Raw genomic sequence first — 25,194 nt, 5'->3', positions numbered from 1 at the left:
GACAACCTATGTCAAACACTGCCAACCAGTGAAGCTCCTTAGAGACTTAGTGCCCATGGGTGGCCAAGAGGGGGAGTGGGTTATCACCAAATTCCAGACACCCATAAAGAAAGCAGGTGTTTAGCTGTTTGTACAAACAGCTTCAGCACAGTGAACCACTCTTGGTGGTTAATGATGGTAGAAAACCCTCCCCAAATTCAAGTTCCCAGACACCAGAGAAGGGCCATCCTTCTAAGCAGGCCTTTCAAATGAATGCTAGCAGGCAGCCCTGCCATGTTAACTCATTTTCACATAAAGCCCATAAGGAAATCATCATATAGCAACAAATTCTTTTGACATCTGAATTCTGCTCTCAGATCCTCTAGTTTGAGTGTAAATGTGACAGTGGTTAGGTAAACGGAAAGCCAGAGAAGGTGGACTTAAGTGCTCAGGAGGGAGAAGATGGAGATGGATATAATCGATTTAGAATATGGCAAAAGATTAAGGGGCCATGGTGGCTGTTTGATTTCACCAGGAGACAGGAATGAAAACAAAGTTTAGAGATTTGTTAGAGCTAGAAGTCTTAAAATTAGTGGTTGCCTATAATGTTAGAGATTTATATCTATTAAACAAGACTTATTAACCTCAGCACTGTTGACATTTGGGACAGGATAAGTCTGTCAGGGAGGGGCTGTACAGTGTACTGTAGGATAGCCTCATTTCTGGCCTCCTGACCACGAGATGTCAGTAGTATTTTCCCCTCCCTACTCACTCCCAAATGAGACAACCAGAAATGTCTCCGGACGTTGCCTATTGCCAAATGTCCTCTGAGGACAGTATGAAAACATGGGTTTTACAGAAAATAAATCCATGAAGATCTTAGCTTTATATGTCTGAGTTGTTCACTAATGTTTCTCATTTACAGTAGTTTTCCATTTATAAAACTTTTTCATGTGATTCCAGCAGCAACTTCATGAGAGAACCAGGAATATTTTATTCCGACTATATAGATGAAGGTCGTGAGACACAGAGGTTAAATTACTTTGCAGGAGAGCAAAGAGAAAGTAGTAGTAGTTAGTAGCCATAATATTAATAGTAATAGTGATAATAATATTATAAGTAATGGTAGACATTTTCTTGAGTGCCTACTATGAGCCACAAATGGTTTCAAATGACTTGCATGTGTGAATTTTGCAGCAAGCCTGAATTGTGCTACTCTTATGTTTTTCTTATAGATGAGAAAGTTGAGGCCAGAGAGGTTAAGAAACCTAACCCAAAGGCACACAGATGGAAGGTAGACAAGCCAAGTACAAACCCAGGCACTTTGACTCCTGTGCTCCTATAAGCACCGGAATCTGGATAAAAAGAGAGTGTTTCTGGGTTCTCGCTCTCCCCAGTCATGTTCTTTCTCATTCCCATCTCCATGGAGGTTGCCATTTGCTTATGTCGCTTCCTGCATTTTGACGAGCTCTGACGAGGTCTAGTGATTTGCATATAACTTTTCCTATATTTTTAACAACTGAATCTCACAGAGAAAAAAAATTTGAAGTCATCTTTCTGTGACCTAACTTTACTATTTCAGATGCAGTCTTCTATTATTATCTTGATTCTCTCTGTCTTTATTTTTAATACAGCATTTTATGGAAATCTGGATTTGTTGCAACTGTCAGCTCAGTCTTGATACACACACTTCAGCCAATTCTTGCATAGCTCATCTAAGAGACTTCTGTTTATGATGCTAAACATTTCAGCATATTCCCCACATCTCTCAACCAGCTCTGAATGCGTTACATGTCATATTTCCACAATTATGTTTTGTTTTCCATGAAACTTATGAATGTGTCAATTCATCCATTCCTCCTTTTTTTTTTGTTTCCTGATTCTCTTTGAACATCCATTTCTCATGCCCTGTGTCTTCTTCCTACATTCTTACTCCAATATGGAGGAGGAAAAAAGTGTTATTCTTCCTCTAGGCCTGGTGGAGAAATCTTCTGTTTTCCTTAAGATTTCTATTCAAGACAATTTTTTAGGAAGACCTTTCACAATCTTTTGAATGCAGTGTTTGGAAAGGGCTTTAGAATTAATTGTATGGTGCTACCGATTCGTGTTAGATGCTTGACTTCTCTCTTCTATAATCGTATGAGGACCACCAGCCCCTCAGTTTATTTCTTATCTTATCTGGTTTTCTTTTCTTTTTCTTTTTTTGCTGGAGAGGTGGAGTGGTGGGTGAGTGGAAGTTGAGATTGTGACTTCAGAGCAGAATGTTGTCGGATTAGATTAGATGGACATTACTACATGGACATGATGTTGAGAAATCCAGTGTTTGATGGGATTTTCAGATGTGTTGAGTTTGAAATTAATTAGGTTCCTACAGATATTGTAATTTTCATTTTCAGTATAAGGCAGTATGAGTTGCCATCTCTATAATTACACTTATTTCTTCTGAGTCTTATGGTCTCAACTCATGAGGCCATCCCACTCTTTCTCAATAGTTAAGCCTTCTTTTTTTTTTTTTGGAAGATCTTATTCTCTTGCATTTTGCTAGCTCTGAATATAATGTGAATCCCCCAATCCTCAGGTTTTAATTCATTTTAGTTCTCATGATCCCTGGTAGTTTCAGGTATAAATTCCTTCTTTCCCTCAGCATTTATTATTTTCGTTACTAATACTAAATTGAACTTTTTCTCTCCTACATCAAGATTTTGGATAGTTTCTTCCTGTTATGCATCTTTAGAGAAAGTTATGCTACATACTGATTAACCCACTATTAAAAAATCATTAAATCTTAGGATTTAAAAAGATAATTGGAAAAAGTACAAAGCATTGTTATATGTTTCTAGTCCTAGATATCAGTATACATTGCATAGTATGCTAGTAAGTTTGCACTTTGGTCATGAGATTAGCAGAATATTTTTCTAAAAGACAGTAGAAGCTTTTCAATGTTTTTTTTTTTTTTCCCCAGAGTAACACTTTTTCCAAATAGAACTTTGATGCTCATACCAAACTTATCAAAGTAGTGTTTTATTTATATGCATATATTTTATAAGTTCTATCACCCTTTCATGTTGCAAAGTCAAATGGTGAGAACAATTCAATTATTTTCCTGAAATGATACTTCAAACTTAGTGGTATGGGCAGCAAGTGAAGTTCATTACTATCCAAATAGAATTCATTTTTGTCTTGCATGGAGGAAATTTGTGCACACATAGTGAAGAGACACAAATTGCACTCTCCTCTAACAGTTCACTTTTCAATCTCAGGATACTCTTTAATTAAATAATTAAGCAGAATTTTACTTTATTTTATTTATTTATTTATTTATTTATTTTTGAGATGGAGTCTCACTCTGTCTCCCAGGCTGGAGTGCAGTGGCACAATCTCGGCTCACTGCAACCTCCGCCTCCTGGGTTCCAGCGATTCTCCTGCCTCAGCCTCCCAAGTAGCTGGGATTACAGGTGTGCGCCACCATGCCTGGCTATTTTTTTGTATTTTTAGTAGAGACTGGGTTTCACCATGTTGGCCAGGCTGGTCTCGAACTCCTGACCTCAAGTGATCCACCTGCCTCGTCCTCCCAAAGTGCTGGCATTACAGGGGTAAGCCACTGTGCCTGGCCCAGAATTTTAAATTAAAGGTAAATGGCAGAAGAAGGTTGTTCCCCAAAGCATGCCCCCAAACTGAGTGAACCTGCAAGTTAGTATGAAGGGGATCTCTCAACGGGCTAAACTTTCTGTAACACATTTGACAGTGGATTCTAATTACAGTTTAAAAAATGGTTAAAATCCATATGTAAAATTTTCAAATTAATCATTGTAGAGACCTGAAAATCTCAGTGGCAACTTTATCCCACAGAATACATTTTGAAAAACAAAACACAAGAAAACATGCTCAGTTGTTACTATAGCTTTAAAATACAGCCATACGTAGTTGCTACATTTTAAAGTTCAGTAAAGTTCAACTTCCCAAGTTGGAACTTGCAAATATTACATAACACACCAGAGTTGTCTGCCTAACTTCCTCTGTCTATTGTCTGGAACATAGTTCAGAAGTAGCCCCTGGAAGAGTGTGGCCAACATTTTGTCTGACTTCAGCATAAGGAGAGCAAAAGACCTTACCTGCTACACCTTACTCGTTTGAATCAATAACTCTGGTATTTACCAACATTTTAAACAACTTGACTATCTAGAGAAGATGAGGCAGAACCGAATGCTGTGTGTGAGAAATTATCTCTTGACAGTCCAGCGGTTATACAAGCATAATCATCTTGTATGATTTGGGTTATTTACCTTTACAAACTTCAAAAGCATGACTTCTTTGTATCATGGTCTGATAATATCTATTAAGATGACCCTACATTATCAGGAAAAAATATAACTAGATTCGTTTATACTCTAAGAAGGCAGGAAAATTGTGTAAAGGGTTTTGAAGGATGTTAATTAAAATAGTTAAAATGAGTCCAGCAGTTATGGGGTTAACTCCAATTACCTGGAACATTGGCTTATATGGGACATTAAATTCCTGAAGAATGCTGGAAAAATGAGAATTGCATGTACATTTTCCTACCACGAATCTGACTCCGTGGGAGCTACAATATTTAATCTTTATTTCGCAAGTGCTAGCGTGCTTTGGGTAGGCTTTATCTGCACCGACAAATGATTACTGCATCAGCCTTCTCATGGGACGCCAGGGACAGGGATGCTGAAAAGAAACTTTTACCAGGAGAGTCGAGTTTGAAACAGTGAGGATGTTAGAGAAGCCACAGGAAGAGACACACGTGGATACCAGAAAGGAGAGGGGCTAGAAAGAAGCAAACAGGGAGGATGTTCTTTGAGGAGCAGCTCTGAGCTCTGTGGCTTTTGTGACCATGGGGTCACAGCAGCTAAAGGTGTCTCCTCAGCGCCAGCCGAACATGGGAGCAGTGAGTAGATGGGACAGCAGCTCTGAATCAGTGTTTGAGTCTTTACCTGCACACAGGGAGGAAATGCCATCTCCTCACCACCAGGGGAGTCATCTGTGAACATAAGAGGCCGCTGAATGTTTGCACAAATGCGACGACATGCCTTATAGGACACGCTGAAGTTTGACTGTAGCCAAGGCATGGGCTCCTTGTGTGGTTGTTCTGCTCCCTCCATCCCTTCGTTTCTTCTGTCCACAAGTATTTACTGAGGTCACACTAAGAGGCAGACACTAGCAGGTGCTAGCGATATAGGCAGGAATGCACCCCAGCAAGGCACAAGACAGCCCACTATTGCTACCACAGAACTTTCGTTGTACTGTGAGGCAGAGGCCTGCCAATAGGAAAAGCCATGAGCAAGATAAGCATTAGCACAGGGGCAGAAAAGTCCATCCAGGGGCCATTCCTGACCCAAACTTGGGAGGCCAGGAGAGCTTCCTGGAGAAAGTGACATCTAAGGCAAGACCTGAAAAATAAACACAGTTTATAAAAAATGGGCAGTAGGATGGGAAGAGGGATGGGTTTTCCAGGAAAGGGGAATAACGTGTCAGGGGAGCAGTGGGAACGAGAAGGGGGAACTCAGGGGACTGAAGTGATCCCTGCAGCAAGAGCATGCAGTTTTCACAGTGAGAAGTCTGCAGAGGCCTGGCCATGGGGGCCTTGGCAGACAGGAGGCCAGACTTTATTCCAAGATCAACTGGAAGCCGTTGAAAGGTTTTACTCAGGGGAGTGACGTGATCAGATTTGCATTTGAGAACATTTGTTCTCAGATGGGAAGGGCAAGACTGGCTAGTGCTGTAGTCACCTAAACGATAAATGTGGCCGACAATTAAAAAATGGAGTCAAGATGGAGACATATACACATATATACATTTATATAAGTAAATAGTTGAGATATATTTGCAGACAAGATCAATAGATTTGGTGAACGAGTGATTGGATGTGTGAGGAATCTAGATTACTCCCAGCTTTCTGACTTGGGCTACGGGGCACTAATATAATAAATGAAAAAGAAGATCCAGGGGAGGAACTTGTGTTATGGAGGGGTGGGGTGATGAACAGCTGTGTTTTGGACTGGTGGAGTTGTGCTGGGTATGGAATCTGCAAATGGAAATGCTATTGGATCTGAAACTCAGACTTCGGAGTAGTCAGCTCACAGAGAGGCCCCAAAGCTGTGGGAATGATGTGATCCCCAGGTGATGGTGTAGACTGAGAAGAGAAGAGATCCCAGGTGAGGACCTTGAGTGGGGAGATACACAGACTTAGGGGAGCCTGCAGGAGACAGGGAAGGAACCACTAGAGGGAGCAGCTGAGCCAGGGGTGTGTGTAAACCCGGGGAGACGACATTTCAAGATGGAGGGAGGCCGCCCAAGAGGAGGACTACAAGATGTCTGTTGGTTGTGTCCACAGAAAGTCATTATAACGGGCAAGAGAAACTTCTAGAAACGGAAGCCAGAAGCCAGTCATAGAGTTGGGGAATGAGTCGGAGAGGAGATGGGCAGGCACTGTGAGGTGAGGCTTCTTTGTCAGGAAGTTTGGTTGGAGGATGGATGATTTGGCACACATGCTGGAAGGGTGTGTGGGGTGCAGGAACGGTGGAGGTTAGGAGAACCTTGAGCATGGGTGAAGATGCGCTTAGAAAAGAGAAGTCAAGGTTAAGCTGTGGGAGAGAGTGAGGATGTCTGGGCGACAGAGCCATGAGAATGGGATGAGGTCTGGAATAATGACAGAGAGATGACCTTAGCCAAGCTCAGGTCCCTCTTCCACTGTGATGGGGTTGGGAAAAGGGGGGATGTGCAAAACAATGGGTGTGAAAGTGTTGTTTTGTAGCACAATATTTTAATTATGTCCTTTTAAAAAATTTCCCCACAGACACTACCCGAAGCAGTCCTTCACCACGGTGGCAGATACACCTGAAAATCTTCGCCTGAAGCAGCAAAGTGAATTGCAGAGTCAGGTAACTTCTAGAAGATTTGTTTTGTTCCCTTGGCCCTAAAGATTTTTCACAAGGCTGCTCTTCTGAGATTCTTGTCTTCGTACTGTTCCTGCTGGGTCACCAGCCGGTGTGGAGGCTGAAAGCAGGCCTGTGTGGGAATTCCGGGTGAAAGTGTTGAACATCTGTACTGTTCCCGGTCTTGAATTGTCCTGATATTCTCAGTTTTGTTATTCACGTTGGACTAGGGCAAGTAAATGAGTTCCGGTCAGAGTCAATGTTTCCCAACAATCTTGACTTATTTGGTCCTAAATATTTAAACACATTTTACAAATAGCTTTTCCACACCGCATATGTGGGGAAAAACAAGGTGTTAACTTGACCCAGTTGCAGTGTGTGTGCGGCTAACACCCCGTCTGTGTATCTCACACCAGCCAAGGGCTTTGTTTTCCTCCTGTCACTTTGTTCATATTTCTTTCATATGTCACATTGACAGCATGAACAAAGATGAGAACACCACAATTGGCTCCCGGTCAACCATGTTAGATGGCAACTTGCCTTCAATATGGTGAAACACATCAGTTAAGACTAGGGTTGTGAGTGGCAGCGTTTTCTGCAGGGACACTTGATCTTTTAGTAAATATGGGGTGCTCTCTTTCAAAGAAGCTGTCTTTCCTGGCACCCCATAGTAAGACACGGAGCAACTACATTGCAATCCATTGGTCAGTGGTGAAGTAAGGACGGAAGAGGGGAGAAGGAAGGTGGAGGCAGGGGAGGCTAGGTGGTTGTAGGCCTCCTTCATCTGTTCATTGGCTGTGGCCTTAGGCCAGTTTCTCTGATGTTTGCACTAACGTGCAGTGAGACAGTCCATCTTGTCTACCTGTCTTGAGGGTGTCTGTAAGTATTAAATGAGGTAGTTAGGTGTGAAAGCATTTCAAAAAGTGAGAAGATATTCTATGACTGTGGAGGCTTGTTATGATGGTGATAATGATGGTCCCTGAGAATTCCTGGTATATGAAAGGGAAACGCACAGAGTTTGTGAAGGAAAGAGGTGTCCAGCTAACAGGCTTGAACATGTCAAGTGTGTAGCTCTTTTTCTGGGGGGAGGGGTGGGAGAACGGAGTCTTGCTCTGTTGCCCAGGCTGGAGTACAGTGGTGCCGTCTCGGCTCACTGCAACCTCTGCCTCCCGGCTTCACGCAGTTCTCTGCCTCAGCCTCCCCAATAGCTGGGATTACAGGCGCCTGCTACCACACCCGGCTAATTTTTGTATTTTTAGTAGGGACAGGGTTTCACCATCTTGGTCAGGCTGGTCTTGAACTCCTGACTTTGTGATCCACCTGCCTCGGCCTCCCAAAGTGCTGGGATTACAGCGTGAGCCACTGCGCCCGGCCTGAAGCTCTTTCTTAATGAGAGCAGGCAGCTCTCAGTGGCTTGGGATTGAATCATTTCCTTGATGGTGTATCTAATCACAGGGGAGGTTGCAGTTGCCTGTAGTCTCTTTCTGGGGGACTTGGGATCACTTCTCAGTCCATCTAATTAGAGGAAATAATCTCCAAGTGGAATTTACTGTTGGTTAATAATGCCATGAATAGATGGTTGGGAGCTATTTTTTAGTTTGTGTAAAATGCTGGTGTTTGTATACTGGTTTTGGTTACAAAAATGAGGTGCTGGCCAAAGAGAGACACTATTATGGAGGCCGGCAAGAACACCTCTGTTCATTCACACCCCCAGGGGTACCAGAATCTGGATCTGCTCTGTGCATATCCAATGTGCCTTTCTTCTCGTCAAGTTAGGGTTCATCAGGTAATTCTGGACAAGTACACACTGGACATAGAACTAAATCAAGCAATCAAATACTCATTTCCTGCCTGTGACATGCTTTGGTACTGTGCAAAATCATTTAAAATTAGTTTCTCTTCCCTTCATAAATTTATAGGGTGTCTGAGGAAAGAGGACTAACACACACCTTGGAATGACTATATTTAATTTGTTATAAGGACTGAAAAAGAGAAAGATCAGGCTGGGCACGGGGGCTCATGCCTGTAATCCGAGCACTTTGGGAGGCCGAGGTGGGTGGATCACTTGAGGTCAGGAGTTCGAGACCAGCCTGGCCAACATGGTGAAACCTCATCCCTACAAAAAAATACAAAAATTAGCTGGGAGTGGTGGCGGATGCCTGTAATCCCAACTACTCGAGAGACTGAAGCAGAATTGCTTGAACATGGGAGGTGGAGGTTGCAGTGAGCCGAGATCGTGCCACTGTACTCTAGCCTGGGCAACAGAGCAAGACTCTATTTTGGGGAAAAAAAAAAAAAAAAGAGAAGAATCAGTGTGGATTGGACTCCGTAGTGCTTTGTGCCAGATGTGAGATTTGAATGGAGCCTTGAAGGTTGAGAAAGAATCTGATATAACCACTGTCTCCTCCCTTTCGAAGGCACACCACACACTTTGGGCTCAGTTAGTGGTTATAGATGCCTTCAGTGCATTCCAGGAGCAAGCATTTATTGTTTTCCTATTATATGCCTGACTTTGGAGATGCAAAGAAGAACAAGGTCACTGTTTTATGAATGGCCGATTTTATTCTCCCTGATGTGGCCAGCTGCAAGCTTCAAAGGGTGGCATATACAAATAATTATAGGCTGGTGGGACAAGAGCTAATGGCGAGATGTCCAAAGATCTGTGGGATCGCCAAGCAGCAGTCAGGGGAAGACATCAGATCTTTATAAAGATTTTGCTCAAATGTCGTGTTCTTTAGAAGCAATTGGGCTCCATCAAGCAGACAACATGGGGAAATTCAATGCAATTCAAGAAACATGTATTGATTACCTACTCTGTGCACTGGGATATAAAGACATCATCATCATCAACAGTGTTGCTGTATTCCAAGGACATAATTTTACATGTATTATTTTATTTAATCATAAACAACTTCAATGATACAGGTGTTTATTATTATCTCTATTTAGGTAACACATTCAACCTTTAGAGAATTTCGATAACCTGCCCTTTCACACTTAGCTGGTACGGAATAGGTCTTGGAATGGGACCTAGATCTCTGAGCCCTCGATGTCCACACTTTTCACCAGTACCCTGGTCCCCTTGCTCAGAGAGCACCTAGAAAAGATCTGTAAGCAAAGAATTGCAATACAAGGGTTGATGCAATGTATGTAAAGGTAGAATTTGGCATTAAGTATAAGTAGGAAGAAGTCATTATGGTTTCTTTTTTTCTGGGTGAGAGGTGAAAACACTTCTGTAAGAATATTTCCATTTTTGCAAAAACGTGGGTAGGTATCTATCCTAATGGTAATACTCAGTAATGGCATTGGATTTCATTTTAGCCTATTAAATGATTTGATTCTGCATGAGAGCATTTCCTTAGAGTTTTGATATCTGGAGTTCTGAACAGCTCACTGGTTTTGGTGGAAAATTGACTATTAATATTTTATAGGCTTGTTTTGATCATTTGTGATGCTAAGTGAATCACATCTATTCATAGCTCCAAGTTTTCAAATTCTGAAATCTTTTAGAATTGTCTGGTTAAAACCAGTTCTCTTCTTTCAGTTCATTAGCTTACCAAGTGAGCCAAAAATAAAGAAAATCGAAATATATTTTCCAATTCAATCTAGAAAGTTATTTATAGTTACCCACTGTTATCTCTTTCTTTAAAAAATTTTCTCTTTTCTTTTTATTTCCCCCCCTCTCTTCCTGAGAGGGTTATAAACACTGTGAATATTTTACATCTAAATGCTAAATCCTCTCAAGCTTTTTTGGAATCTATATCAGGTGCCAGATTGTCATAATAACATTTTATGAAATACTGTGAATAAACAAACAAACCAAGAGTTAGCTCTTCAAAGCCAGTGGTTCATAGGCTTTATCCAGTACCTGGTGAACATCCACTTGGCCAGCCTCTGACTGCAGTAGATGTGGACTGCTCTGGACCTTGGCAGTCAAGAGGAAGAGAGGGAAGGAAAGCCCTTTTATAGTTACTAGTTCCCTTTTGATCACACATCCCAGCATGAACTGCTTCAAAGAAATAGCATGAAGAGTGGTTAGACGCCCCCACGGGCCCGCAGCAGCCCATTCAACAAGAAGCAAAAGTAAAACTGCTTCTGGTGGAATCAGCAACATTATAGTTCACCTGCGGGGGCATCAGGCTTTTACTGCTTGCCTTGGGAGTGGCTCATCTCATTTTCTTTAGGAAAGTGAGATCCAAAGCCCTGACTTAGAAACAAAAGTTTTGGAACACAAACTCTTTGTAAATTAGGTGATCCCTAAACTTAAAACATCCAGGCGAGATGAAAGACCCCTTAAAAAAGAAATTTCTAGCCGGGTGCTGTGGCTTATGCCTGTAATCCCAGCACTTCGGGAGGCTGAGGTGGCAGGATTGCTTGAGGCTAGGAGTTTGACATCAGTCTGGGCGCCATAGGGAGACTCCTGTTTCTACAAACATTTTATAAAAAATTAGGGCATGATAGTGCATACCTGTAGTCTCAGCTACTCAGGAGGCTGAGACAGGAGGATCCTGTTGAGCCCAGGAGTTGGAGGCTGCAGTTAGCTGTAATCACACCACTGTGCTCCAGCAGCCTGGCTGACACAGCAAGACTCTAGGAAACAAACAAAAAACCCCAAAAAACAGAAAAAATAAATTTACTGATTATTTTAATATCATGTGGTAGAAAGCATTCCCTTTTTCGGGCTGTGTAGCACACTCTTATTGGAAGGGAAGGCATAGATGCTTTGGGTACTCTGAACCAGGGCTCTGGAGCCTTCTCAAAGCCGTTGAAATGGTTCTTCCGATGACATTTTGAGTGGGAGCCCCTACTGAGAAGACAACAACATGGAGCTACCGTGATTGAAGCAGGGGAGCGGGGGCAAGCCCCTGGCATCTCCAAACCCCCCCGACTCTCCTCATCTTCCCACCCCCAGAGCCTTAAGGAAACCTGGTCTTCTGTAGAGCATGGTTTTGAAAAAGGCTGCTTAAAATGAAGACAAAACAATAGCTACTGCCCACTTAGTTGTTTATGTGCTTGGCTTAGCTATTTGCAATCATGTTGAAAATAAGAGGGATTTGGGGCTCACTGTGCTCTTAAATGGAGTATGTGTAATTTATGAGGGCAGATACGATGAAAGATGGAAAATGATAATGGAGAGAATGCAAATCATTCTGGAACCTTTGAGTCTTTCTTTTGTAATCTATGTTGATTCTTTTTTAATCTTCCAGGTTTCTGCAGAGGCATGAAAACGTGGTTCATAGGAAGTACGATAAATGATAGTAGTAAGGGTAAGAAGTAAAAGTGATTTCTTTTTATAGGGAACATAATAGTTAAACATCTTTTGGGAGAAATGAAGGCACGTGTTTAGTATAAACCTTTGGAAGCTCCAGAAGGCAGTAACGTGGCTTGCCCTTGGCACATTTCTGAACCTTCTTATTTTATATTCCATTTCCAGAGGGTTTTCTCTCAGTTATCTGTCATCTAACCATCCAGTAAGATGGACCTTACTGGTAAATATTACCTAAAGCAGAACCTTTCTCAGGGGGGAGTTGCATCTTAAAGCGTGTCTGCTGAAGTCTGACTTCCTTCAAAGCAAAGAATCCCTGACTGAAGAACTCCATTGACTGTCCAAAGATAATTGGAGAATTATTTTGGATAGCATTGTCCAAAAGTTTCAAATCCCACTCTGTATGATTGCCCAATCTTAAACTTGACCTAAATTTCTTTTGCCACTGGATACCGATTGCATGTCAGATTTTGGATATCCTGCAGTGAGTGAAACCAGATGAGGCCCTTACTCTCAGGGGGTTTATGGTCTAGTGGGAGAGAGGGTGGTAATAACGTAATAAAAAATAGGCCAGGCCTGATGGCTCACTCCTGTAATCCCAGTGTTTTGGAAGGCTGAGGTGCAAGGATCACTTGAGCCCAGGAATTTGAGGTTGTAGTGAGCTACGATCACACTACTGCACTCCAGCCTGGGTGACAGAGTGAGACCCTAAATCTAAAATAATATTAATAATAATAAAAAATAGGAAAAATTACAACTGCAACAAGACCTGCAGAGAGAATGGAGTGTATTTTAAGTATGTTTTAAGGCACTTTTGGGGAGTTGGAGGCCTGCAGACCTTTCTGCAGCAGATGCATAATAAAATCTTAGAACAGTCTGCTGTATCCTGCTCAGCTCCGGATCCCATTTCCAAATATATATCCATTTTCCCCATTTTTTAATCCTAGGGGACTCTGCTCTTCATTGGGTTCTTTTTGTTTTAGATGGAGTCTCACTCTGTTGCCAGGCTGGAGTGCAGTGGCACGATCTCAGTTCACTGCAATCTCCGCCTCCCAGGTTCCAGCGATTCTCCTGCCTCAGCCTCCCGAGTAGATGGGATTATAGGTGCGCACCACTACGCCTAGCTAATTTTTGTATTTTTAGTAGAGATGGGGATTCACCATGTTGGCCAGGCTGGTCTCGAACTCCTGACCTCAAGTGATCTACCCACCTTGGCCTCCCAAAGTGGTAGGATTACAGGCGTGAGCCACTGCGCCTGGCCCTCTTATTATGTCTTATCTCATTGGACAACTTCAGACTTCTAAACACAAACACTGCTTCTCCCGACAGTTTTTGTTGGGTTCTGCTGGTCTTGGACAAGAAGCCTTTTATGCTTGCCTCCTAACTTTCTCTTTTCTTTGAACGCCATTTTGGCAGCTTTACACTTCCACCTTTTGATTTTCCACCATTTGATGCTGTCTTCTGATCCATGGTAATGCTTCTTGTTCTCCGAGTAAGCACTTTCTCATGTATGTAATGGTTAAAGTTCATTGGGAGAAGCTTCAGCATGTTTATTTTCAAGGTTTTGAGGCAACGTAAATGATAAGAGATTACGTTTCACATAGAGGAATGGGTGAATGTGAATGAGAACTTCAAAGGGGACATATGAATTCACTGGATGTGGTACATTTCCTTCAGGGAGCACAGCGTGCTAAGCAGATGTTAACTCCAACCTTTGCGATTCCACTCACCCTCACAGTTTCCCATAAGTCAGATCCCCACCCTGCCCCCACGCCCCCATTGTACCCCTGGATAAAATGATGTAAGAGACAAAAATGTCAGTAGTGGGAGACAGGAAAATAACCAAGATGTTTTGATTTTTGTGCACTGCTAGGTTTTCGACCCTTTAATCACAGGGACCTGGTGTTCTACTCTCAACCCTCCTGAGATGACCTGCATCCTTTTCATCTGTTTCCCAAGGCCTGGAAAGTTGGTCCTTTGATTCCTTCCTGGCCCACCCTACTTCCCTTTCCATCATTCCCATAGCTGACGGTGGAGGGAGGTGTGAGTGCTGTATTTTGGGTGGGCAGGCTCTAGGCTGTTTGTTAAGAGTAAGTGGTTCAGAGTCTGGTAACTGGCCCTTGTATTAGGCGTTTCAATATATAGTCTATCTATCGAGGAGGATGTTTTAAAAGTATTAAATCAGGCTGGGCACAGTAGCTTATGGCTATAATCCCAATGCTTTGGTAGGCTGAAGCAGGAGGATCACTTGAGGCCAGGATTCAAGATCAGCCTAGGCAACATAGGGAAACCATTGTGTTTGCCAAAAAAAAATAACAAATAAAAATAAATAAGCTAGGCATGGTGGCTCATGCTTGTAGCCCCAGCTACTTAGGAGGCTGAGGCAGAAGGATCGCTTGAGGCCAGGGGTTCAAGGATGCAGTGAGCTGTGATCATGCCACTGCACTCCAGCCTGGGTGACAGAGTGAGACCCTGTCTCTAAAATTAAAATAAATAAATAAATATATATATACACAATCAATGCATTTTTCATCTTTCTCTCACATAAATCATGCTCTGCCATCCTGCTTCACACTTGTGGCCCCAGAGAGAGAAACAGAGTGAAGAGTGAGTGGCACTCTGGGAAGGAGGGAAGATGGTCCCACTTGAAGGGGGGCACCTACCCTACTCCCACTTCTGGCCATGGTAGATTGTACGAAGCAAGCAGAAAATCGGAGACTGAAACATGACCTCCTCTCTCTCTGCTGACTGCAGGCTCAGAGATGAAAGTTGGGAGAGGCAGATTAAACTGCCAAAAGCAGAGAAAACCACCCCACAAAATGTATTCCCAATCTCCTCCCACCTCAGTGGCAGACTTGGGGCCTCTGCAGCATGGCAGGCAAAGTAAGAATGTGGGTTGCATTTCCCAGAATCTTAGTCTCTCCCATAGTGTGGAAGGCGATGGCAGCTGCAATGTGCCTTGTAGAAGGATGCTGAGGTGCTTGCTGGGAGCTGCCAGGGGCATTGCCATTGCAGGAACAGTGTGGCCCTGGGGCCAGGGGTGGATGTGCAGGTGGGGAGTAGAGGTTAGACCTCAACGAGAAGCATGGAAGGAAGTGTCTTCAGGGGGTACCGCTAGGCTGTTCCTGAGCCAAGGAAGAACACACCACAGGGTTACCAGCCACAGATGCCAACAGATGCCAACAGATGCCACAGATGCCAACAGATGCCAGCCACAGATGCCAACAGGGTGCCTGGCACCTGAGAGGACAGGAGACACCACTGAGGCCAAAGGAGTTCGAGGAGAGAAGGAGGGAATGTGGGCATGGGTCCCAGGCTTTCTTCTTCCTTCATTCACACACTCCAGGACATCATCTCAGAGGGGAACCAGGAAGCAGGAGGAAATGGGAATTGACCTAAGCTGACTGTTTCAGTTGTTGAATGGACTCAATGCAACCGATGGAACTAAATTTAGTTCTTTCCACTTCCGTGTGGTACGGACTTGTAAAGAATCACAGGGCAGCTCTAACACATAAAGAAGCTTGGTTTTCTTTTGTATCAGAATACGAGTACATCGTAAATAAGTTGCTGACCTGTTGTATACGCTTTGATTTTATTGGGTAAATATAGCACTAGACCAGCCACCCAGCGATCTGGGCTCTCCCCCTGTCCCTGCCACTAAGTGTGACTTTGGGCACTCCTAACCTTTTTCAGGGCATAAGATGTAGGTTGTAGTAAAATTCCTTCCAGTTGTAATAGTCTCTGATTTTAGTACAAAAATGTTCTGCAATAATGTCTCAATGTAGCAATAAAAGAACTTGAAAAAAAACTGCCATTATTTTTTCTTTTCTGCCAAAATAGCAATTGTCAGGCCTGCCATTTCATTTGACCATTCTCTAAATAGCTCCTTCCCTGGACTGGTCTCAGATATTGGCTGAAGGTCATAATTGGGAGGTCACATAGATTTGAGGGAAGTTGATGGGCAAATCAGTTTCACATTGGAAGATGTTTAAAGAATGGCACAGGACGAAAGACAAGAATAGCTACAGTCATGCTGTTCATTCACTGATAGCAACTCATCATTTAACTCAGTTGTCGAGCTTCAGTAACCTACGTTCAAAGTCATTTATGCCATGTTACATGACTTCCTAATTAGCTCAGTAGATATTTTTCAAGTTTTCTATGTAGAAGTAGAGTAACTCTATATATTTGTATACTTTTATGAAATGTCTTATTTTAGTTTTACTTCCTAATGCTTTCTTATTTTTTTTTGAATGGCTTTGCTTGATTATGTGGTAGCTTTTGAACTTCAAAAGTTGGTCTTGGCTGGGTGTGGTGGCTCATGCCCGTAATCCCAGTGCTTTGGGAGTTCGAGGTGGGAGGATGGCTTGAGGCCAGGAGTTTGAGACCAGGCTGGGCAACATAGCAAAACCCTGTTCTTGCAAAAAAAAAAAAAAATTAAAAAATTCGCTGGGCATGGTAGCACACACCTGTAGTCCCACCTACTCAGGAGACTGATGTAGGAGGATCGCTTGAGCCCAGAAGGTCGAGGTTGTAGTGAGCTGTGATTGTGCCACTGCACTCCAGCCTGGTCGACAGAGCTATACCTTGTCTCAAAACAAAATGAAACAAAACAAAAACAAAAGCAAACAAACAAAAACCATATATCTCAATTCAGCATGTCTCTGTGATCCCTTATACAGAGGAGCTGATCTAAAGCAATCCCATTTCATTAAATTAACAGGCTCATTAGGGAACTATTCCTTAATACCCTTAATCAACACTCTTAATTTCCTAACAATGTATTTTTTGAAAGGAGGACACTACTTAGACACTACTGTCTCGTAATGGCCTTAAACAACAAAACCAAATTTATAGGACAATATAGAATTCAGAAAAGGCCTCTTGGAGATAACTCTAGGGGTAACCAGCAGCCTGCGGTAGCCCTTATTGTGCCCTGAATGTTTAAACTCTCATGAAGTACATATATGTGTGCTTAAAAATTATATATTTTAAGCAGAAATTATCTAGCCTACTTGTCATTTTCCTTTACCTCAGAACTTTGTTTAGAGCACCCATTAGCTTCAGAAGGACCTTCCCACCGGAATTCTCTGGGGGCCTTGCAAAAGGATAAAAACAGGCTCAAGAAATTCTGTAGAGAAAAGATGACTATGTTAACATCATTCTTTGAAAAAGCTTCCGTTTGGGACAATTGTATTGTATTCTGAAATGAGATACTTGGGCTTCCAAAATATGGGTTGTGCTTTGTAAAATGGAGTTTTTCTCATTACAAAATGTTGGAAGAGAGCAATTAGAATTTCCTTCTCTGCCTCCTTCCCTCTCTCTTGATTTTTGGTGAAGTCAAGGGTCAGGATGATGCTAAATCAGAAATTAAGGCAACACAAATTTGATCCCAACTGGTAGAGCTGCTCTGGACCCCTTTTGACTGACACTGAGCTCCTGTTTCTGTGGAATTTTTCTTATTTACAGGAATCCATGATCTGTGAATGTCTTCTAAGATAAATCTAATAAGCATCTTTAGCTACTGAGTTAGCTTCCTAAGCACACAGTATTTTAGACACCACACAACTAAATATACCAATTCCAAGCGATTTACTTATACAAAAAAGTGAAATATAGTAAAACCAAGAATTCCATTCTATTTTTAATTAGGCAGTCATAGAGCCTCAATACTGATTCTTTTAAAAACCTCTAGAATGGCTTTAATGCTTATAAACCATTAAAATTAAAACCAAAGTAGCTCTTAACTATATTTCTGCTATTGGACAGAGAACATATCTGTTATATAAGTTTTCCTTAGAATTGGATAATTTCCAAGGCTTTGAATCTTTTTATTCTAGAATATTTTATTCTTCATAGGAATACCACTTAATGTCTTAGGAGTGTGTATGTATATGGGTTTTTTATATACATATATAATAAATATTATATGTAATATACATGTATGTAGATATACATATAATATACATACATTACATACAATATGCATACAGTAGACACCCCTTATTTGCAGGGAATATGTTCCAAGAACCCTAGTGGATGTCTGAAAACTGCAGATAGTACCGAACCTTATAAATACTGTTGTTTCCTATGTGTATATATCTACAATAAAGCTTAATTTATAAATTAGGCACAGGAAGAGATTAACAACAATAACTAGTTTACATTCCCACCAGCGGGTTTTCACTGCATCCACGCCAACATCTATTATTTTTTGATTTTTTGATTATGGCCATTCTTGCAGGAGTAAGGTGGTATCGCACTGTGGTTTTGATTTGCATTTACCAGATCATTAGTGATGTTGAGCATTTTTTCATATGTTTGTTGGCCATTTGTATATTTTCTTTTGAGAATTGTCTATTCATGTCCTTAGCTCACTTTTTGATGTAACCAAATACCATCTGTTCCCCAAAAATCTGTGGAAAAAAATTTAAAAATAAAAAACCACAACAATAACTAATAGTAAGATAGAATAATTTCAACAGTATGCTGTAATAAAAGTTATGCAAATGTGGTCTCTCTCTTTCTCGAAATATCTTATTGTACTTTACTCACCTATTTTCAGCCCACAGTTGACTGTGTAAAGTGAAACTAGGGATAAGAGGGGACTACTGTACATATATATAGATATGCATACAATATGCAAACATATTCATTATGCATATAAATATATGCATGTTTTTACATACATTTGTATGACATCTACCTATACATATATACACACACACGTATATAATAATATAACAAAGTTAACTTGGAAGGACAATGTTCGGGAAAGTCTTGAAAACCTGAAAGACCAAGAAAACATGAAGTGTCTTTTCTTTTTTGTTATGAATGGCTAAGTATGATTTAATTCACTGCTGGACACTCTAACAGTCACCTTATTGCAATTTAAGTTCCCCATCTGTGAATTAGCTTTGCAGTCTCTGTGTCTTTTAGTTATTCCATATGTTTTAAGAAATAGCGAATGTGAAAAACTGTAACAGAAACATGTAGTGTTACTTCTGGAAGTGTGGTAATGAGATCTTTTTCAAAATATTACTGATTCCAGAGGATAGATCACTCATTCTACTATATAACAAGCACAGATGTAATTCAAGAGGCTTTACCTGTTTTAGTGGGTCTTTCTCTGTGTAGTTTGTTCATTAATTTAAGGTTTTTTATGTCTGTTTTCATCTTTGTCCTTTGCTGTAGATTTTAAACTAGAGGCCAGTGATCCTATTTAATTTAATGGTTACTAATAAATAACCACACTAAGCAATCGCCTGGATGATATTGTGCCGTCAGATGATAAGGGTGATAATGTATGAAATGAAATAGAAAGAATGGAAGGTAGTTTCATAAAAAGCAAGAGTCTTATAAGAATGAAGAACAAGACACTTTTCTGACAGGTGGACAGATGCTTTTCCAGTTCTTTCTTGGCATAAATTACAAATGGAGAAAAACCTTGGTATTTTTGGTTTCAAACCTTTACTAGCAAAGAAATCTCACTGAAGGACCCTCCATACTTCCTGTAACTTATCTGTATAAGGCTGCTTTAATTATTTATTGGTTTAATCTACATTTATTGGATACCTCCTTTGGCCCAGCCCTGCCAGCTCTTGGGTGCGGGTTGTGTGAGGCGAGAGACCAGCGGCTGTGGGGAGAGAGGGTGAATGGAGGAAAGACCTGACCCCTGACTTAGAGGTGTTTATTGGGTCCCCTCAAAATATATTCTCCCAAATTCTGTGAACAGTTTTTTTTTTCTGTATTTCATTCGGCTTTCTCCTCTCATTCTCCACTGAAATGTTTATCCTTTCTTTGAAAGAAACCCCAAAGTGACTCTTTTCCTCTTTCCATGGATCAGATGCCAAATTCTTTGAGAAATATGTAGAATAAGAAAGGATCCTTTACCTGGTTTGGAAGGAGCTCTTTCTGTTTTTCTTTCCCCACCCAACACCTGTGCCTTTTTGTCAACTATTTATAGAACTCGCTCCTTCTTAAAATAATGTGGATCGAAAATGGTTTGATTGCTTCATGGACACAGGAAGACTTCTCCAAAAAAAGCAACTTTCTTCTTATTGTTATCCTTGGCAAAATTAAATCATGTCGTAAACAATATCCCAATCCTCTTGTCATCCATCAGACTCTAGAAGGGTGGCTCCTAATGCTTTTCGGGTCTCGGACCACTGTGGAAATTTGGTGAAAGCCATGCAACTCCTCCTTTGGAAAAGTTATGGTAGCCTGCTTTAGAATATAAATGCAGAAGTTCAGGGTATAGTGAACTCCATCAGTGGAACCCTAGAAAGTCTCAAGCTTTAGCAGGAGTGGCTGGGCTGGCCAAGGGAAGGAACAGGGAAGAAGGACTGGTTGGATTTACAGGTCTCACGGAGAGTGGTGGCATTGTCACAGAAAGATTATGGACTCCCTGCCTTCTAAGCACAATTTTATTTTATCTCCATTAAAATATTAACTCTTTTGGAAACATGAACTCTTACTGCCTTAAAAAAAGCAATCTAGCAACAAGTGTTAAAACCTGAAAGACACAAATACGTTTTGTTCTGGCAATTCCACTCCTGGGAATCTCTCCCATGGAAACAAAATTATCAGCATAGAAAGCGTAAGTACAAGGATGTCTATGACAGCACCGTTTGTAGTAGCACAAAACTGGAAACAGAGCGAAAGGTCATCTGCAAGAGAATAGTGAGTTACATTTTGATAATCTGCACCAAAGAATATGATGCGATCATTTAAAGGAAGGAAATAGAGCTCTATAGCCACATGCCTTGGAGGTATGCCTGTGAAGTGTTGCTCAGTGAGAAACACAGATGTAGAAAAGCGTAGAGATGACCAAACCCTCTGTGTGTGCCTGCGTTTGCGTATCTATGTCTATATATGTTTAGCTCTGATTAGGAATATATGTATAGGTAGAAAAATATGGATTAATATATTCCAGGTTACTAACATTGGTTCTTGGGGCTTACAGGGTGAGCCTAGCAAATAAAGGAAAAAAAAGATTGCAATACTTAAAAAAAAAAAAAAGTGTTAGTATGTCAGTAATTCATTGTATCAGATTATACTTATGGGTGGGTAGATGTAAAAATAAATAAAATAGTGATTTTATTTAATTTATTATTATTATTGTTTTGAGACACTTGCTCTGTCACCCAGGCTGAAGTGCAGTGGCATGATCACAGCTCACTGCAGCCTTGACTTCCTGGGCTCAAGTGGTCCTCCCACCTGAGCCTCCCGAGTAGCGGGGATCACAAGTGTGCACCACCATGCCTGGCTAATTTTATTTTATTTGAAAAGATGGGGTCTACCTATGTTGCCCAGGCTGGTCTCGAACTCTTGGGCTCAAGCGATCCCCCCATCTTGACCTTGCAAACTTCTGGGATTACAGGTGCAAGCCACTGTGCCTGGCCAGATAATGGTTTTAAAACAGATTTGCTTATGTACATTTTAAATTTTACTGTTTTACTTCTTCACAGTCAGTAACACTGAGGCTTTACCATTCAGGCTGCTGGGGACTAATCTGGCCAATTTGACCAGCTGGGGGTCTCCCTGCTGATTTCTTAGATGGGTATTCTGTGACTTATTGCTCTAAAGGCATTAGGTCTTTTAGCAAATGTTTATTGGATGTCTATTTTATGTCATATACTAGGCCTTGTGCTCCTTAAAGAACTAAGGTGTGAGTGTGTGTGTGTGTCTGCACAAGTCAGGGACTGTTAACAGCTGCAATTGAACTTTCTGTCCTCAATTTGGTATTTGTCTGTTTATTTGGTTGTGAGCGTGCAAAATGGAGGGCATAAGGTGTTACTCTCAGGCCAGTAAGAACCTAAGAATTTGTTTGGGTGAGGTCTTGATTTCCTTTTTTGCCTCTATTAAATGGCCTACCCTTAATTCACCAGTTTCTCCATAGAAATGCCTAAAGACCTTGAGAGGTTAATACTGAAAGGGTTTTAGAGGAAAAAGAAAGGTGAGATGCTTTCTGTGAGTCAGTGTTTCTCCAAATAGTCTTTTCCTGCCTACCTGTATGCATCACAGTTACCTAGCGAATATGGTGAGAATGCTCATTCATGGGCCTGGCCCCAGACCCACTGACAGGGAGGCCCAGAAATCTGCATTGTTAATTCTCCAGGTGATTCTTTTTTTTTTTGAGATGAGTCTCGCTTTGTGCCCCAGGCTGGAGTGCAGTGGTGCAATCTCGACTCACTGCAAGCTCCACCTCCCGGGTTCACACCATTCTCCTGCCTCAGCCTCCCGAGTAGCTGGGACTACAGGCACCTGCCACCATGCCTGGCTGATTTTTTGTATTTTTAGTAGAGATGGGGTTTCACTGTGTTAGCCAGGGTGGTCTCGATCTCCTGACCTCGTGATCTGCCCGCCTCGGCCTCCGAAAGTACTGGGATTACAGGCGTGAGCCACCGTGCCCGGCCCAGGTGATTCTTATTTACGCTTGTTAATATTTGAGAACCAGTTCCATAGAACGTCGTCCCAAATAATGAACACTCCTGGCATTTTTTTTCCAAAATTTTACTCTTTTAATAAATTTTTCCAATATTTCAATGGCTTTGAATTTTTATTTTTTTATTAATGATGCATTTATTCATAACGATGTCTGCATTTTAGAGAAGTGTTCATGAAGAAGAAACTTCTTCAAACAACACTGTTGTTACCAAATATCCACTGCATTCTTAATGTAAAGGAATCAATGTAGGTCAGTTAAAGGCTAGAATGGTTTAAAAAAATCAACAATCTGATGCTCAAATTCAAATGTCTTTAATATACACGTACTTATGTGTATGCGTATAAGAAAAAATTTCAGGTTACAATGCATTCTGTTGTTTTGAACTACAGGAATCAAACCAGAATTTTTAGCCGTGATACACATTTGATACATTCATGGATTCTTGATTTTTTGGACGACTTTTGGTTTGTTTATAAAGTTCCATAATAGAGACAAGAACTGAAAGGGTTTTTCAGATATTTTTTATTCCCTTTCATACATTTCTTCCCCAAGAAATTTAGATACGTTTTGAGATTTTCATAAAATCTTAAAATAATTGAATAGTTTAAGCAAAGGCTAGTTCCTATGAAAAGCAGAATTATATGACAATTTTCCTACATTCCTCATGTGATTGTACCTGTGCAGAGAACAACCCTATTCTGATTAGAAAGATCCTGCCTGAGAACCTTTTAGCTTCACAGCAGGATGTGTACAACCGAAGTCGATTCAAGAAACTCATGACGTCATCCCTCAGTCAATAATCATTGATTGAATAGAGTTGGTTTCAGATGTAGGTATTAGGTACCAGTAGGGATACAGAAGGAAAATTCATGGTTTCCGTCTTTGAAGAATAATCTGGTTCAGAAAATAGTTCAAATGTGCATGTTTTGACATGGCTTCATAACAAAAGATCCTTTCAATCAAAATGCTAGGGAAACCAGCATTAAAGGAGAGATTGTGGGGCAGGCGAGGTGTTGGCAGCAGGGACATGGGTTGTCAGGAGACAATGGAACAGAAACAAGACATGAGAAAAAGTGTGAGCTTAATCCATAAAGCTGTTTCCCTCCAAAGGTGTCAGCTGCATGGCGTGGGAGGTCAGGCAAGTGGGTCTGTGTTCCCCAGGGTGGGAGAAGCATTAGTAGAAACAGGTGATGAATTCCTTAATTAGGATAGGGAAACACTGCAGAAGAGCTGTGGTCTAGGGATTTTATGAAATGCAAAGCTTGGAAAATTAAAGAAGCCCAATGTGAAGAAGTTAGGAGGCAGGATCAAGGTGGCTGTGAAAACAGAGAAGAAAAACTTAGAGCTCCTTTTGGAGAAAATGGGATATTAGGGCTAAATTTGAAAAAAAAAAAAAAAAAAAAGCCACATAATGAAAATACCTGTGATGTTATTAAACCCATCATGATGGGTTCAGTCTAAGGCATTTTAAATTAGAGTGAACACTGTGGGTAGTGGTGTGAAAGAGACCTCACTAATTGATGATATGGTTTAGCTCTGTATCCCTACCCAAATCTCTTGTGGAATTGTAATCTCCAGTGTTGGAGGAGGGGCCTGGTGGGAGGTGATTGAATCATGGGGGCAGATTTCCCCCTTGTTGTTCTCGTGATGGTAAGTGAGTTCTCCCGAGATCTGGTTGTTTAAAAGTGTGTAGCGCTTCCCCCTTCGCTCGCTCTCTTTCGTACTCCATTGTGTGAGGGTGTGCTGGTTTCCCCTTTGCCTTCTGCCATGATTGTGAGTTTCCTGAGACCTCTCCATCCATGCTTCCTGTACAGCCTGCAGAACTGTGAGCCAGTTAAACCTCTTGTCTTTATAAATTACCCCGTCTCAGTTCTTTATAGCAGCGTGAGAATGGACTAATACAATTTTAAATCTTTAATTTTCTGTTGATTTATAATTTAAGAATTTATTTCTGTAATAAAATACAAATATCATCTAACAGACCTTTGACATGGTAAACATTCTACAGCGTAGGATAACTTTATAAGGTTTAGGTAGTAGGTGGTGAGTAAGTGCTAGATGACTGAATTCTGGTGTTTATCTTGGAAAGTAATCTGCAATTCTATATGACGTTTTTTCCTGCATAGGACACGAAGTTCTGCTACAATTATTTAGGAATAACTTTTTTTATGACTCATGTTAGTAATATTACTGTAAATCAACATTTTAAAAAAACAATGTTTCATCACCATAAAAAAAAAAACCCTCCCTCCTTCCCACATCAAGGATATCTTCCTCTTGTCTAAGAAGCACCTACTCCTTTTTGGAGGTTGACATTTACATCGAGCGAGTACCTTTCATCTCTGAAAAAGAAAAAGAAATACGTGTAGAAAAACCCAACTAACTAACAAATCACCTTAATTACTACCTGCAGAGAAAAAGGGTTGGCTTTATGTTTCTTTTTTAATTGTGTGTGTTTTTAGCTCAATCCACAAATGAGAAATAAGTGTTGGTGGAAAAACAGAGACCAGTTTTGCTTATATATGGTGTGGTGGGTGGAGAGAAAGGGTACATCAGATTGCTACCTAACAGAGCGAGGAAATCAGTTCTTATTTTCC

At 41.1% G+C, this 25,194-nt stretch overlaps 1 protein-coding gene and 1 long non-coding RNA gene across 11 annotated transcripts in view, besides 1 other annotated feature; both read left to right on the top strand.

The window, feature by feature from the left end:
• NEBL (nebulette) overlaps positions 1–25,194 on the top strand; it is a 513,078-nt gene that overhangs the window by 266,047 nt on the left and 221,837 nt on the right. For all 10 annotated transcript variants that reach the window (NM_001377326.1, NM_001377327.1, NM_001377328.1 and 7 more), the window contains one exon: positions 6,803–6,887. In NM_001377326.1, coding sequence (NP_001364255.1) covers positions 6,803–6,887 — 85 coding nt within the window. The remainder of the gene's footprint in view (positions 1–6,802; positions 6,888–25,194) is intronic.
• Positions 6,213–6,372: an enhancer, noted in NCBI's record as "active region_3119". NCBI's record gives its function as "activates an Ori minimal core promoter by ATAC-STARR-seq in GM12878 lymphoblastoid cells {active_cell/tissue: GM12878}" and the evidence as "EXISTENCE:reporter gene assay evidence [ECO:0000049][PMID:35858748]".
• Positions 8,240–24,006, top strand: LOC124902389 (uncharacterized). Its single transcript, XR_007062084.1, has 2 exons — positions 8,240–12,148; positions 14,021–24,006. It is a non-coding gene; the product is annotated as an uncharacterized LOC124902389 (long non-coding RNA).

This window comes from Homo sapiens, chromosome 10, assembly GCF_000001405.40.
Source record: "Homo sapiens chromosome 10, GRCh38.p14 Primary Assembly".
Lineage (NCBI taxonomy): Eukaryota > Metazoa > Chordata > Mammalia > Primates > Hominidae > Homo > Homo sapiens.
Note: the sequence above shows the minus strand (reverse complement) of the source record. Positions and strands in the feature narration are given on the sequence as shown.